Source organism: Homo sapiens, chromosome 10, assembly GCF_000001405.40.
Source record: "Homo sapiens chromosome 10, GRCh38.p14 Primary Assembly".
NCBI classification, from domain to species: Eukaryota; Metazoa; Chordata; class Mammalia; order Primates; family Hominidae; genus Homo; species Homo sapiens.
The window spans coordinates 38026755-38040835 of record NC_000010.11 but is presented as its reverse complement, the minus strand read 5'-3'; the positions used below and the strand labels follow the sequence as shown (position 1 = coordinate 38040835).

The following is a 14081-nucleotide window of genomic DNA, read 5'->3' as shown; positions in this document are numbered from 1 at the left end:
TCATAAGTCAAACCATTTTAAGTCAGGAACCATCTGCATAGCAATAACAACAGGAAAAAGGGAATGATTTGAAAATCCAATCAAAAAGCAACAATTCTCAGGTTGTCAAAAGTGTGAAAATCCAAACATGTGCTGTCTATAAGAGATAGATACAAACAGGTTGAAAATTTGAAGACAGAAAAAGATATATCCGGCACATGGCACCTATAAGGCTGGAGTAGCTATCCTAATATCACACAAAATACACTTTAATACAAAAATTTTACTAAGGATAAAGAGGGGAATTTTATTAATATAACAATAAAAGGGTCAATCAATAAAGGAGACATAACAATTCTAAGCCTATGTACTACTAACAGAGCCTCAAAGTATGTGTAGCAAAAACTGACAGAATTAAAAGAAAAAAATATACAAGTCTACAATACTTATTGCAAACTGTAATACCCCATTTTCAATAATGGTTAGGACAACTGGGCACAATATAAACATGGAAACAGAAGATATAGATGACACTCTAAAGCAACCAGATCTAAGAGATATAGACAGAACATTCCACTCGAACAGTGGAGCAGGTATGCTTCAAAAGTACACATGAAACATTCCCCAGAATAAATTTAAAATGATTCTCTGACCACAGTCGAAATTACAAATCAGTAAGACAAAGGAATTTTTAGAATGCACAAACATGCACAAATTATATAACATATTCCGAAGTTAAAAAAAAAAGTTAAAGAAGCAATAAGAAGGAAAATTAGAAAAAATGCTTTGAGATAAAAATGAAGACATACTCAAACTTATGGAACACAGATAAAGCAATCCTTAGAGATTTGTAGCTGTAATAACCATATTTAAAAAGATCTCAAATCAGTAAACTAATTTTCCACCTTAAAACACTTGGACAGGAGCAGCAATACAAAACCAAATCAAGCAGAAGGCAGGAAAGCAGAAAGATTATAGAGTAAAAATTAATGAACTAGAGAACAGAAAAACAATAGCTGATTCCTGGAAAAGATCAACAAAATATACAAACCTCTAGCTAGACTGACATTGAAAAAGAAAAAAAAGAGAGAGAAGGTTCAAATTACTAAAAGTAGGGATTAAAGATGTATTACTAGTACTCTTACAGAAATAAAAATAATTACAAAGAATGGTATGAACAATGTATGCCAACAAATTATTTAACTTCAACAAAATGGGAAAATCCATAAAACAAAAACAACTAAAACCAACTCAAGTAGAAAAAGAAAAATCTGAAAAGACCTACACAAGTAAAAAGATTGAAGTTGTAAATTTAAAACTCCCCATTACAGGTGGGATGCTGTGGCTCATGCCTGTAATCCTACCACTTTGGGAGGCCAAGGCAGGTGGATCACTTGAACTCAGGAGTTTAAGACCAGCCCAGGAACATGGTGAAACCCCATCTCTACAAAAAAAAAACACAAAAAATTAGCTGGGTGTGCTGGCATATGCCTGTAGTCCCAGCTACTTGGGAGGCTGAGGTGGGAAAATTGCCTGAGCCTGGGAAGTCAGGCTGCAGTGAGCCATGACTGCACCACTGCACTCCAGCCTGGGCAATATAGTGAGGCCCTGTCTCAAAAAAGACAAAAAACAGACAAGAAAACTTCCCATTACAAAAACAAAAAAAAAACCCAGGTCCATAAGGGTTCACTGGAGAATTTTATCAAACATTTAAAAAGAATTATCAATTACTCAAAAACTCCAAGAAAATAAGAAGAAACACTTGCCAGCTCATTCTATGATCCCAATACTACTACTCTGGTACCAAAATCAGACATGAAAAAAAATACAGATCCATGTGTCATGATTACAGACATATAAATCCTCAACAAAATACTAGCAAATTTCATCCAGTAGTATATAAAAAGGGTTACATACAATTATCAAGTGTGATTTATCCTAGTAATTCAAATTTGGTTTATCATTTGAAAATCAATTAATACACCACGTAAGGAGAAAAGAAACAATAACCACATGATCATCTCAGTATACAGAGAAAAAGCATTTAACACAATCCAATGACCATCTTCTCTATAAAAACAATCAGCAAACCAGGAATAGAGTTAAACTTCCTCAGCCTGATTAAAGGCATCTACAAAAAGTCCACCACTAACATCATACTAAATAATGAAAGGTACAGTGATTTTACTCTAAGAACAAAAAGAAGACAAGAATGTCCTCTTGCTGGTTACACATCACACAGGAGATTCTAGTCAAGAAAAGCAAGGGGAAGGGGAATTTAGATTGAAAACAAAAGTGAAACTATCTGTATTTGCAGTTGACTACTCATGCATATAGAAAATCTTAAAGAATCTGCTGAAACACTATTAAAACTAATAAAAGAGTTCAACAATGTTGCAGGGTGCAAGTTCACTAACAACAAACAAATCATAAATGAAAATTTAAAAATAATTCTGGCCGGGCATAATGTCTCAAGCCTGTAATCCCAGCACTTTGGGATGCCGAGGTGGCTGGATCACCTGACGTCAGGAGGTTGAGACCAGCCCAGCCAACATGGTGAAACCTCATCTATACTAAAAATACAAAAAAGTTATCCAGGCTTGGTGGCATGTGCCTGTAGTCCCAGCTACTTGGGAGGCTGAGACGCAGTGAGCCGAGATCGCACCATTGCACTCCACCCTGGGCAGTAAGAACAAAACTCTGTCTCAAATAAGTAAATAAATAAAATAAATTCCATATACAATAGCATCAAAAAGAATAAAATACTTATAACTTTAATCAAGGAAATACAGAGCTTATAGTCTGAAAACCACAAAACAATGATAGAAGAAATTAAAGACAGCCTAAATAAATGGAAAGGCACTGAACAGTGTTCATATGGTTAAGATGGCAATAACTGCCAAATTAATACCTAAACTCAACACAATCCCTACCAAAATCCCATCTGCCTTTTTGGAGAAACTAACAAGCTGGTCTAAAATTTCATGTGGAAATTTAGGGAACTGAATATAATCAAAACAATCTTAAAAAAGAAGTAGAAAGTTAGAAGACATACACTTCTCAATTTGAAAATTTGCTACAAAATTACAATAATCAAGATGGTATGATACTGGCATAGAGGAAAACATATGAAATAAAATTGAGAGTTCACAAATAAACACTACTATATATTATGTTCAGTTAATTTTCAACAATGATGCCAACACAATTTAATGTTGAAAAATCACCTTTTCGGCTGGGCACAGTAGTTCACACCTGTAATCCTAGCACTTTGGGAGGCTGAGGCAGGCAGATCACAAGGTCAGGAGTTCAAGACCAGCCTGGCCAATATGACGAAACTCCATCTCTACTAAAAATACAAAGACATTAGCCAAGCATGGTGGCGCATGCCTGTAATCCCAGCTACTCAGGAGGCTGAGGCAGGAGACTTGCGTGAACCCAGGGGGCAGAGGTTGCAGTGAGCCAAGATCGTGCCACTGCCCACCAGGCTGGGCGTCAGAGACTTCCTCTCAAAAAAAAAAAGAAAAAAGAAAAATTACCTTTTCAAGAAATGATGCTGAGACAACTGAATATTTGTATGCAAAACAATCAAAATTATTCCTTTCCTCACACCATATACAAAAACTAATTGAAAATGGATCACAGGTCTACATTTAAAAGCCATTACTTAAAGAAAATACAGGAGTGGATCTTCATGCCCTGGGGATAGATAAAGCCCTCTTAGATAAAGTACCAAAAATACAAGCAACAAAAGAAAAAACAAATTAGACTTCATGGAATGAAAAACTCTTTTGCTACCAAGAACAAAGACAATAAAATGACAACCCACAAATGGGAGAAAAATATTGGCTAATAATGTATGTAATTAGGGACTGCTAAACAGAATATGGAAAAAACTCTTACATCTCAACAATAAAAGGACAAATAACACAACTACATAATGAAAAAAGGAACTGATTTTTCTATATTAAGCTTCTATCCTCCAACTTTGCTACAAAGACTTAATAGTTTTGGGAGTTCTCTAGAATTTTCTCCTTAGGCAATCATGCCTGTACGAAGAAAGTTTTATTTCTTCCTTTCCCATCTGTATGCCTCTTATTTTGTTGTCTTATGGCATTACCTACCATTTCCAATGAGATGTTGAGTAAGAGTGAAGAGACAGGACATCTTGTTTCCTTATCTTAGGGAGAAAGTATCCAGTGTTTCACCACTAAGTATGCTCTTAGCAGTAGGTTTCTTGTAGATTTTTTTTTTACCAAGTTGAGGAAGTTCCTCTCTATTCCTAGTTTGCTCGGTTTTATCATGAATGGGTGTTGGATTTTATCAAATGCTTCTTGTCCATCAATTGACATGATATGGTTTTCTTCTGCAGGCTGTTGATGTGGCGGGTTACAGATTTTTTATTTTTATTTTTTTTTTGAGACAGAATCTTGCTCTATCACCCAGGCTGAAGTGCAATGGTGCAATCTCAGCTCACTGCAACCTCTGCGTTCCAGGTTCTAAGCGATTCTCCTGCCTCAGCCTTCAGAGGAGCTGGGATTACAGGCGCATTCCACCACGCCCAGCTTATTTAGTATTTTTAGTAGACAGGGTTTTACCACGTTGGCCAGGCTGGTCTCAAACTCCTGACATCAGGTAATCCATCTGCGTCAGCATCCCAAAGTGCTAGGATTACAAGCATAAGCCAACGTACCCGGCCACATTAATTGATTTCCAAACTCTGACCAGCCTTGAGTGGTCACAGCATCCAATTATTTTCATACAATGTTGCATTCTATTTGGATTTTTGCATCTATATTTATGAGGGATATTAGTGTGTGGTTTTTCTTCTTTGCAAGGTCTTCATATGCTTTTAAGATTAGAGAAAAAACAGCCTTTTACAAAAGTGTTAAGAAGGTTCCCTTTGCATCTCTTTTCTGAAAGACACTGTAGAGAACTTATATATTTCTTCCTTAAATGTTGCACAGAAATCACCAATGAAACCAAAAAAGTCTGATAATTTATTTTCTTTCTTTCTTCTTTTCTTTTCTTTTATGAAAGCTTTATGGATTCAATTTCTTTAACTGATATTGGTCCATTTGAATGGTTTATTTCTTCTGTGTAACTCTTGGTAGTTTGTGTATTTCAAGGAATTACCCATTGCACCGAAGTCATGAGTTCAGGAGGAGCCAGGAATAAAGGCATCCTGCACCAAAACATCTAATTGCATTACAAATGTAAAAAATAGTATCAATGAAGGACCCCTTTCAATACAGGAGGAAGTCCTGACCTTAATTACTTTGGAAAGAGAAGTCTGTGAGACTAAAGGAAAATCTGCACGTAAGTACTGTATTTTAGTTGATAAAATTATAAAATTATTTTCCACATAGGCATAATTAACAATTCTGACAGTGCCATACATGTATGTATACAGGGAAAGAATAATGAAAGTAAATGGAAAGCCAGGCACAGTGGCTCACAACTTTAATCCCAGCACTTTGGGAGGCCGGGGCAGGTGGATCACCTAAGATCAGGAGTTCGAGACCAGCCTGTCCAACATGGCAAAACCCCATCTCTTCTAAAAACACAAAAATTGGCTGGGCATTGTGGTATGCACCTGTAGTCCCGGCTACTTGAGAAGCTGAAGCAGGAGAAATACTTGAACCCAGGAGGCGGAGGTTGCCGTGAGCTGAGATCACACCACTGCCCTCCAACCTGGGTGACAGAGGGAGACTCCATCTCAAAAAAAAAAAAAAAAAAAAAAAAGAAAGTAAATGGATGATGGATGGTTAGAGCCAGATTTCTTACTGTTGGGTATGGTAATTTGCAGGGAAGCAAGGGAAGAAAGCTAGAATGATCCATGTGGTAGTGAAGAGTTGAAGAATATAAGTATAAACACATGTTTAGCTTAAGAGAGATACAGATGGTTACATGTAGAACTATTTATAAGTATATTACATGGTTTATACACGTGTATTTCCCTGTTCTGTCAGCTGAGATGGCCACGCCCTACTGCTGCAAGCACACCATTAGCCCCTATCTTGGTTTCTAATACCATTTTCAAATAAAAGGAACCAGGATTACCTGAAGAAATGATGGCTGATTTTAGAAAGAAAATATACAAGATGAGCCTGGACCATCTTGTAGTGACAGAAAGAAAGTGCTCTAAAAAACAACAGCAACAAAATTCATATATCTCCACTTCTTATGTGTGAGTTGTGCAGAGTAACATTGTTCCAATGTGTACAATATGGAAAATAGGAAAAAGATGTAACTTTATAGTGGACAAACTCTGTTTGCCAAGACATTTCAGGCCAACATCAAAAGTCATAAAACATGGTGACAGTATGCATGCTTGATATAATGTGACAAAAAAGGTACTTTACCACTGTGGGCTTTTTCCCCCAAAACCTATAATCCCAGTCTTATCTTGAGAAAAACATCAGACACATCCCAATAAATGGAATTTATATATACCTCACCAGGACTCCTCAACTGTCAAGGTCATCCAAAACAAGGAAAGTCTGGGAAACCACCATAGCCAAGAGGAGCCTAAAGAGACATGACAACTAAATGTAATATGGTGCCCTGGAAGGGATCCTGGAACAAAGAAGGACATTAGGTAAAAATCAGCAGGTGCTAAATAAAAATATGGACTTTAGTCAATAATCATGTACCAATGTTGGTTCAACAGCTGTTGCAAACATACCATCTTAATATGTTAACGACAGCAGAAACTGGGTAAATGGCAATTCTCTCTACTATCTCCCCAATTTTTCTATAAGTCATGAAATAAAGTGAATGTTTTAAATTGACAAAGGAGATACATAAATAGCCAACAAGTGCATAAAAAGATGTTCAACATCAGGCCGGGAGCAGCAGCTCACGCCTGTAATCCCAGCACTTTGGGAGGCCGAGGTGGGTGGATCATGAGATCAGGAGTTCAAGTCCAGCCTGGCCAAGATGATGAAACCCCGTCTCTACCAAAAATACAAAAATTAGCCTGGCATGGTGGTGGGCACCTGTAATCCCAGCTACTCGGGAGGCTGAGGCACAGAACTGCTTGAACCCAGGAGACAGAGGTTGCAGTGAGCCAAGATCCCACCACCGCACTCCAGCCTGGGCAAACAGAGCGAGACTCCATCTCAAAAAGAAAAAAAAAAAAAGATGTTCAACATCACTAGCCATTGGGAAATGCAAAAAACCACAATGAGATACCTCTTTACAACTACTGGATTGGTATAATACATATTAATATTAATAAAAAATGTTGCAAACTAGAGAAACTGGAAAATTCATGCATTGCTGGCAGGATTGTAAAGTATTGTGGCTGCTATGAGCAACAATCAGGCAGTTCCCAAGAAAGTTAAACACAGAGTCACCATATAACCAGCATTCTACTTCTAGGTATATATCTGAAATGACTGAAAATACATGTCCATGTGAAAACTTATACGTGAACAATTACAGCAGAATTATTCATAATAGTCAAGAAGTAGAACTAAAACCAAACGTCCATCCACTGACAAATGGATACATAAAATGTAGTATATCTATACACCATGTTATATGGCCATAAAAAACAAGTGAAATATTGATACATGCTACAACATGGATGAACCTTGAATATGTTATGCTAAGAAAAAGAAGCCAGGCAGAAAAGGTCACACACAGTTCCATTTTTATGAAACATCCAGATTAGGCAACTCCACACAGCAGAAAATTCAATTTTGGTTGCCAAGGGCTACAGGAAATGGGAAAGAGAAAGTAACTGCTAACGGATATTTGCTTTGTTTCAGGGATGATGACAACGTTCTAAGAAACACTGTCAGCCGGACGCAGTGCCTCACGCCTATAATCCCAGCACTTTGGGAGGCCTATGCAGGCACATCACTTGAGGTCAGGAGCTTCAGACCAGCCTGGCCAACATGGTGAAACCCCATCTCTACTAAAAATACAAAAAATTAGCTGGGCATAGTGGTACACACCTGCAATCCCAGCTACTCGGGAGGCTGAGGCAGGAGAATCGCTTGAACCTGGGAGGTGAAGTTGCAGTGAGCCAAGATCGCGCCACTGTACTCCAGCCTGAGCGACAGAGTAAGATTCTGTCTCAAAAAAACAACTGTCGGCAAGGTGCGGTGGTTCACACCTGTAATCTCAGCACTTTGGGAGGCTGAGGTGCCAGATAACCTGAGGTCAGGAGTTTGAGACCAGCCTGGCCAACATGGTGAAAATGTAAAAACAGCTGGGTGTGGTGGCATGCACCTGTAATCCCAACTATTCAGGAGGCTGTGTAATCCCAGCTACTCAGGAGGCTGAGGCAGGAGAACTGGCTTGAACCCGGGAGGCAGAGGTTGCAGTGAGCCAAGACCTTGCCACTGCACTCCAGCGTGGGCAACAGAGCAAGACTCCATCTCAAAAAAAGTAAAAAAAATTGTCAGGAATGTTGCACAATCCTGCAAATACACTAACAATGATTGATTTATACACGTAAAATTGGTGAAGAGTACAGTATGTGAATTATATCTCATATAATTCTCAAGAAAATTGTTTCTTATATACCTGTTTCGTGGTGTATAAATAACACACAACTGATATTATGTATTGTTCTTACAGCCAACCACCTCACTAAACTAACTTTTTTTAGTAATTTGAATCACTTCTGTGTAACATTTACTTTTGCTTGTACAGATAATCAAATTGTCTGCACACAAAATGACAATTTGACTTCCCAACCCTTGTTTTATTTTTTTTTATTGTCTGTGTAATGGACAGTAGATCCTCTATGAGATTCAGTAAAACTGGCGATACAAGAGATCCAGCATCTCTCATATAGAAAGTGTGCTGTGATTTTTCAACAAATAGTATACAATATGTTTTTGTCCATTACCTTTATTTTATTTTATTTTATTTTGTAAGATGGAATCTTGCTGTGTTGCCAGGCTGGAGTGCAGTGGCGCCATCTCAGCTCAGTGCAACCTCCGCCTCCCGGGTTCAAGCAATTCTCCTGCCTCAGCCTCCCGAGTAGCTGGGACTACAGGAGTGCACCATCACGCCTGGCTAATTTTTTGTATTTTAGTAGAGATGGGGTTTCACCATGTTGGCCCGGATGGTCTCCATCTCCTGACCTCATGATCTGCCCGCCTCAGCCTCCCAAAGTGCTGGGGTTATAGGCGTGAGCTACCGCACCCGGCCTATTACCTTTATTAAAGATTAAGAAGCTGAATTATTTATAGTTGGCAGGTAATTTACAAAACTTTTTATTTGGAGACAATTCTTTTTTTTTTTTTCTTTTCTTTTTTTTTTTTGAGGCAAGGTCTCACTCTGTCACCCAGGCTGGAGTCGAATGGTGCCATCACAGCTTACTGCAGCCTTGACCTCCTGGGCTCAAGCGATCCTCCTACCTCAGCCTCCCAAGTAGCTGGGACTGCAGGCACGCACCACCACACCTGGCTAATGTCTTTACTTTTTGTAGAGATGGGTTTTCACCATGTTGCCCAGGTTGGTCTCAAACTCCTGAGCTCAAGTGATCCACCCACCTTGGCCTCCCAAAATGCTGAGATTACAGGCATATGCCACCACACCCAGCCTGGAGACAATTCTTAAACTGACATGCAGCTGGAAGAAATAATGAGAAGATTCTATGTACCCCTCACCCAGTTTTCTCCATGGTAACAATTTGCAGAACTATAGTTCAATATCAGCCAAGAACTGACATTGATTTATTCAATCAACCTTATTCAGATTTCACAAGTTTCACATGCATTAGTTGTGTATATTTAGTTCTATAAATTTTGCCACAGGTATAGATTTTTGTGAAAATCACAACATTGGTGATACAGAACAGTCCCATCACAAGGATGCCACACATGGTAACTACAGCCATCTCCCACCCTCTCTGCCTTCCTAACACTGGCAACCACGAATCAGTTCTCCATCTCTATGTTGTCATTTCAAAAGTGTTATCCAAATAAAATCATGAGGTATTATGATAAACAGCCTAACTGCATTTGTGGTAATTGGCTGCTAATAGATTTCAAATCCCACCCATCTCCCCTCTTACCCTACATTTGGGCAAGCCAATAATAAAGCCTAGGTGGTCACTCCCTCAATGCCAGTAGGAAACTCAAACCACACAAACTCCATCCCTTTTGTGTGCGCTTACCCCACCCCAAATTCCTACTGACAAGCAGCCATTCTTCTCCCTTCTTTCTCAACCCACATTTAGATCTCCTTAGGAGCCTTCTCTAGTCTCCCTAGAAACCTGTCTCTATAACTAATAAACTCCTTTTTACACTCTTAATATCATTACCAGTTTTGATATCCAAACCAAACATTGGGGGTAGGAGGGTTCACCCCAACACTATGGGGTGGACCAGAACAAATATGTAAATTTTTGAGATTGGGTTTTTTAAAACTCAGCTTAATCTCTTGAGATTCATCCATAATGTTACATGTATTGGCCATTCATTCCATTTTAATGCTGGGTAACACTTCATGGTATGGACACACCACACATTATCCATTCAAGAACATCTGGATTATTCAGGTTTGGGCTATTACCCATAAAACTGCTATGAAATTTTTTTGATGGAACATAAGTTTTTATTTCTCAAGGATAAATGTCTAACAGTGCAACTAGTGATTGACATGCTAAGTTTGTTTTTAGTTTTAAATGGAACTGACAAACTATTTTCTAGAATGACTGTAGCATTTTACATGCCATCAAAAACATATGAACATTTCAGTTCCTGTAAGTCCTCACCAGCACTTGTATTATCACTTTTATAAGGCAGGTCAAATAAGAGCATGATAAAAACATCTTTCAGTATAACGTGTCTGGGTATAAGTCTCTTTGCATTTATCCTCATATGAGTTTGTTGAGCTTCTTGGATGAATATATTAGTGTTCTTCAACAAATTGTGGGTGTTTCTGTAATTCTTCAAAAAATTTTTCTTTCCCTTTCTGTTCTCTCACATTGATACTCCCATTTGTATATGCTGGTGCACCTAATGATATCCGTTTCCCAAGGTTTTGTTCATTTTTCATTATTTTACTGGCTCTTCCTCAAATTACACAATATACACTGATCTGCACCAGACAACCCCGTTTCTGCCAACTTAAATGGCAGAAACCATATTATTGTGTTGCCTGTTGTTAGTCCTGTGCATAGGTCACATTTTTCCCGTTTCTTTGCAGATCTCATTTTGTTGTTGTTCTTGAGTGGACAACAGGTCCATGTTGTTGAGTGACATAACCAAATGGTGGAGTACACAGCTCCAAACTGTCTCCCCACAGAAACACCAAAAAACAAGAACTATAAAAACCAACCTTGTTAGAACTCTGGAAAACAAAGGTTTACAGTAACCAAGTGAATGCCAAATCAGGAAAAAGGCGACTTCAAATGGTGGGAAAGTTTTGTGGCATTTTTACTTTACAAGAGATCCTCATTAATATTAGGAGCTGATATCTCCTTAGAAATCAATTGAAGGCCTGAAGACAGATGGATGACATATATAAATTGCTGAAAGAAAAAAACTATCATCTGAGAACTCTCTAGCTGGTAAAACAGTCCTTCAAAATGAAAGAGAAATGGAGTTAATCCCAGATAAACAAATGCTGAAGAGTTTGTTACTACTAAGCCTGCTATACAGGAAGCACTAAAGGGTGTCTTTAAAGATGAAATAAAAACAAACTAGACTCTAATCTGGAGGAAAAAATAAAGATTTCCAATAAAGTTAACTATATAGACAAATATAAAAGCCAGGGTCACTGTATGTTTGCTTTGTAACTCCATTTTTTTACTTCCTGCGGGACTTAAAAGATAAATGGATAAGAACTAAATAAAAATTTACATTATCGGTACACAATGTATAAAGACGTAATGTGTGAAAACAACATAAAGGGGATGAGTAAGGTGCTAGGTAGAAGCAAGGTCTTCATATGACATTGAAGTTACGAGGGAATTAATTTAAACTAGATTTTCATAAATTTAGAATGTGAAAGCAATCCCCATGGTTAACTACAAAGGCAATATCTAAAAAATATACACAGAAGGAAATGAGAAGGGAATAAAGAAGGGAATAAAAATGATTCACTATAAAAATCAGTCCAGGCATGGTGGGCTCATGCCTGTAATTCCAGCACTTTGGGAGGCCGAGATGGGTGGATCACTTGAGGCCAGGAGCTCAAGACCAGCCTGGCCAACACAGCAAAACTCCATCTCTACTAAAGACACAAAAATTAGCTGGATGTGGTGGCACGTGCCTGTAGTCCCAGCTACTTGGGAGGCTGAGGCATGAGAATCACTTGAACCCAGGAGAAGGAGGTTGCAGTGAGCCAAGATCGTACCACTGCACCCCAGCCTGGGCAACAGAGCAAGACTTTTGTCTCGAAAAAAAAAAAAATCAACAAAACACAAAGAAGACAGTAATAAAAGGAATATGAGACCAAAGAAGGTATACAACATACAGAAAACAAAATGCAGTATGGCAGAAGCACTGCCTTGTTGGTGATTAGTTTAAATGATAATTGATTGAATGTACCAATCAGAAGGCAGAGGCTGGCAGAATGGATTTTATTTTATTTTATTTTATTTATTTATTTATTTTAGACAGGATCTTGCTCTGTCACCTAGGCTGGAGTGCAGTGACACAAACATGACTCACTGCAGCCTTGACTTCCTGGGCTCAAGGGATCCTCCTCCCTCATCCTCCCAAGTAGCTGGAACCACAAGCGCATACCACCACACCCAACTATTTATTTTATTTTTTTGTAGAAACAGAGTCTCACTTTGTAGACCAGGCTAGTCTCCAACTCCTGGGCTCAAGAGATCCTCCCAAAGTGCTGGGATTACAGGTGTGAACCACCCAGCTTCAGAATAGATTTTTTAAAATCATGATCAAACTACACATTGTCCAAAACAAACTGACTTTAGATCCAAAGACACAAATAAATTAAAACTGAAAGGCTGATAAAAGATATTCCATGAAAATAGCCACCAAAAGGGAACTGGGGTGGCTATACTAATTTCACCCAAAATAGATTAAGTCATAAGCTGTTACAAGGGACAAAGAAGGATACTATATATGAATAAAGGGTCGTTCCATCAATAAGATATAAAAAGTATAACTATGTGTGTACCAAGCAGCATCCTGAAACATGTAAAGCAAACACTGACAGAATGCAAGGGAGAAACTGACAGTTCTTACAGTTAACAGTTTTAGACTGAGGCTGGGCATAGTGGATAGCACCTGTAATCCCAGAGGTTTGGGAGGCCAAGGTGGATCACTTGATGCCAGGAGTCCAAGATCAGCATGAGCAACATGCCGTTTCCACCAAAAAAAAAAAAAGATAGCTGGGCATAGTGGGCATGGTGGTATACAGCTGTAGTCCCCTCAGCAGGATGAATGGGGAGGATCACTTGAGCCTGGAAGTTCAAGGCTGCAGTGAGCCGTAATTGTACCACTGCACTACAGCCTGGGCAAGAGTGAGACTCTGTCTCTTAAAAAAAAAATACAAATGCAAATGAATAAATGAATGAATGAATGATGCATATGAATACAGATACAAAGCTATACACACACACACAAAAATTCCAGTAAAATATATTTAATGGTATATTAAGAGGACTAATTTATCCTGGAAATGCCTGTGTGGTTCAACATAAGAAAATCAATGTTAAAAAAAAAAAGAAAAGAAAATGAACAAGAACAAAGTCAGAAGACTCAAAATCTCCAATTTCACAACTTATTAGAAAGCTACAGTAATCCAAACAGTGTGGTCATGGCATTGGTATAGACAGACAAATGGAATGCAAGTGAGAGCCCAAAAATACACTACCTATGGTCAACTGATTTTTGACAAGGGTGTCAATTCTATTCACTGGGAGAAAGAAAAGCCTTTTCTTTCAGTTGATGCAGGCCAAATATTGTCACACTACTGACAGGAAATATTCACAACAGTCATACTCACAGAGACAAAATAGATTAGAGGTTGCCACAGACTGGTCGGAAGGGGGAATGAGTAGTTACCGCTTAATGGCGACAGTTTCTGTTTGGAATGATGACAAATGACCAAAAAAATGATGCTGGGTCAACTGGATTTCCACAAGAAAATAAAGT

The 14081-nt window shown here is 38.4% G+C and overlaps 1 protein-coding gene across 21 annotated transcripts in view; it reads right to left on the bottom strand.

Moving 5' to 3' along the window:
- Nucleotides 1-14081, bottom strand: part of ZNF33A (zinc finger protein 33A) — a 57346-nt gene that overhangs the window by 26999 nt on the left and 16266 nt on the right. For 3 of the 21 annotated variants that reach the window (NM_001324177.2, NM_001278174.2, NM_001324175.2), the window contains exon 5: nucleotides 6436-6510. The exons of 15 other annotated variants lie outside the window; for them this stretch is intronic. Coding sequence is in view for 1 of the 6 variants with exons in the window: in NM_001278176.2 (NP_001265105.1) it covers nucleotides 1344-1423 (80 nt within the window). In the remaining 5 variants the exon portion in view is untranslated. Of the gene's footprint in view, nucleotides 1-1343; nucleotides 1424-6435; nucleotides 6559-14081 lie in introns of all 21 variants that reach the window. 3 more of the 21 variants (NM_001278171.2, NM_001278179.2, NM_001278176.2) reach the window with 2 other exon arrangements.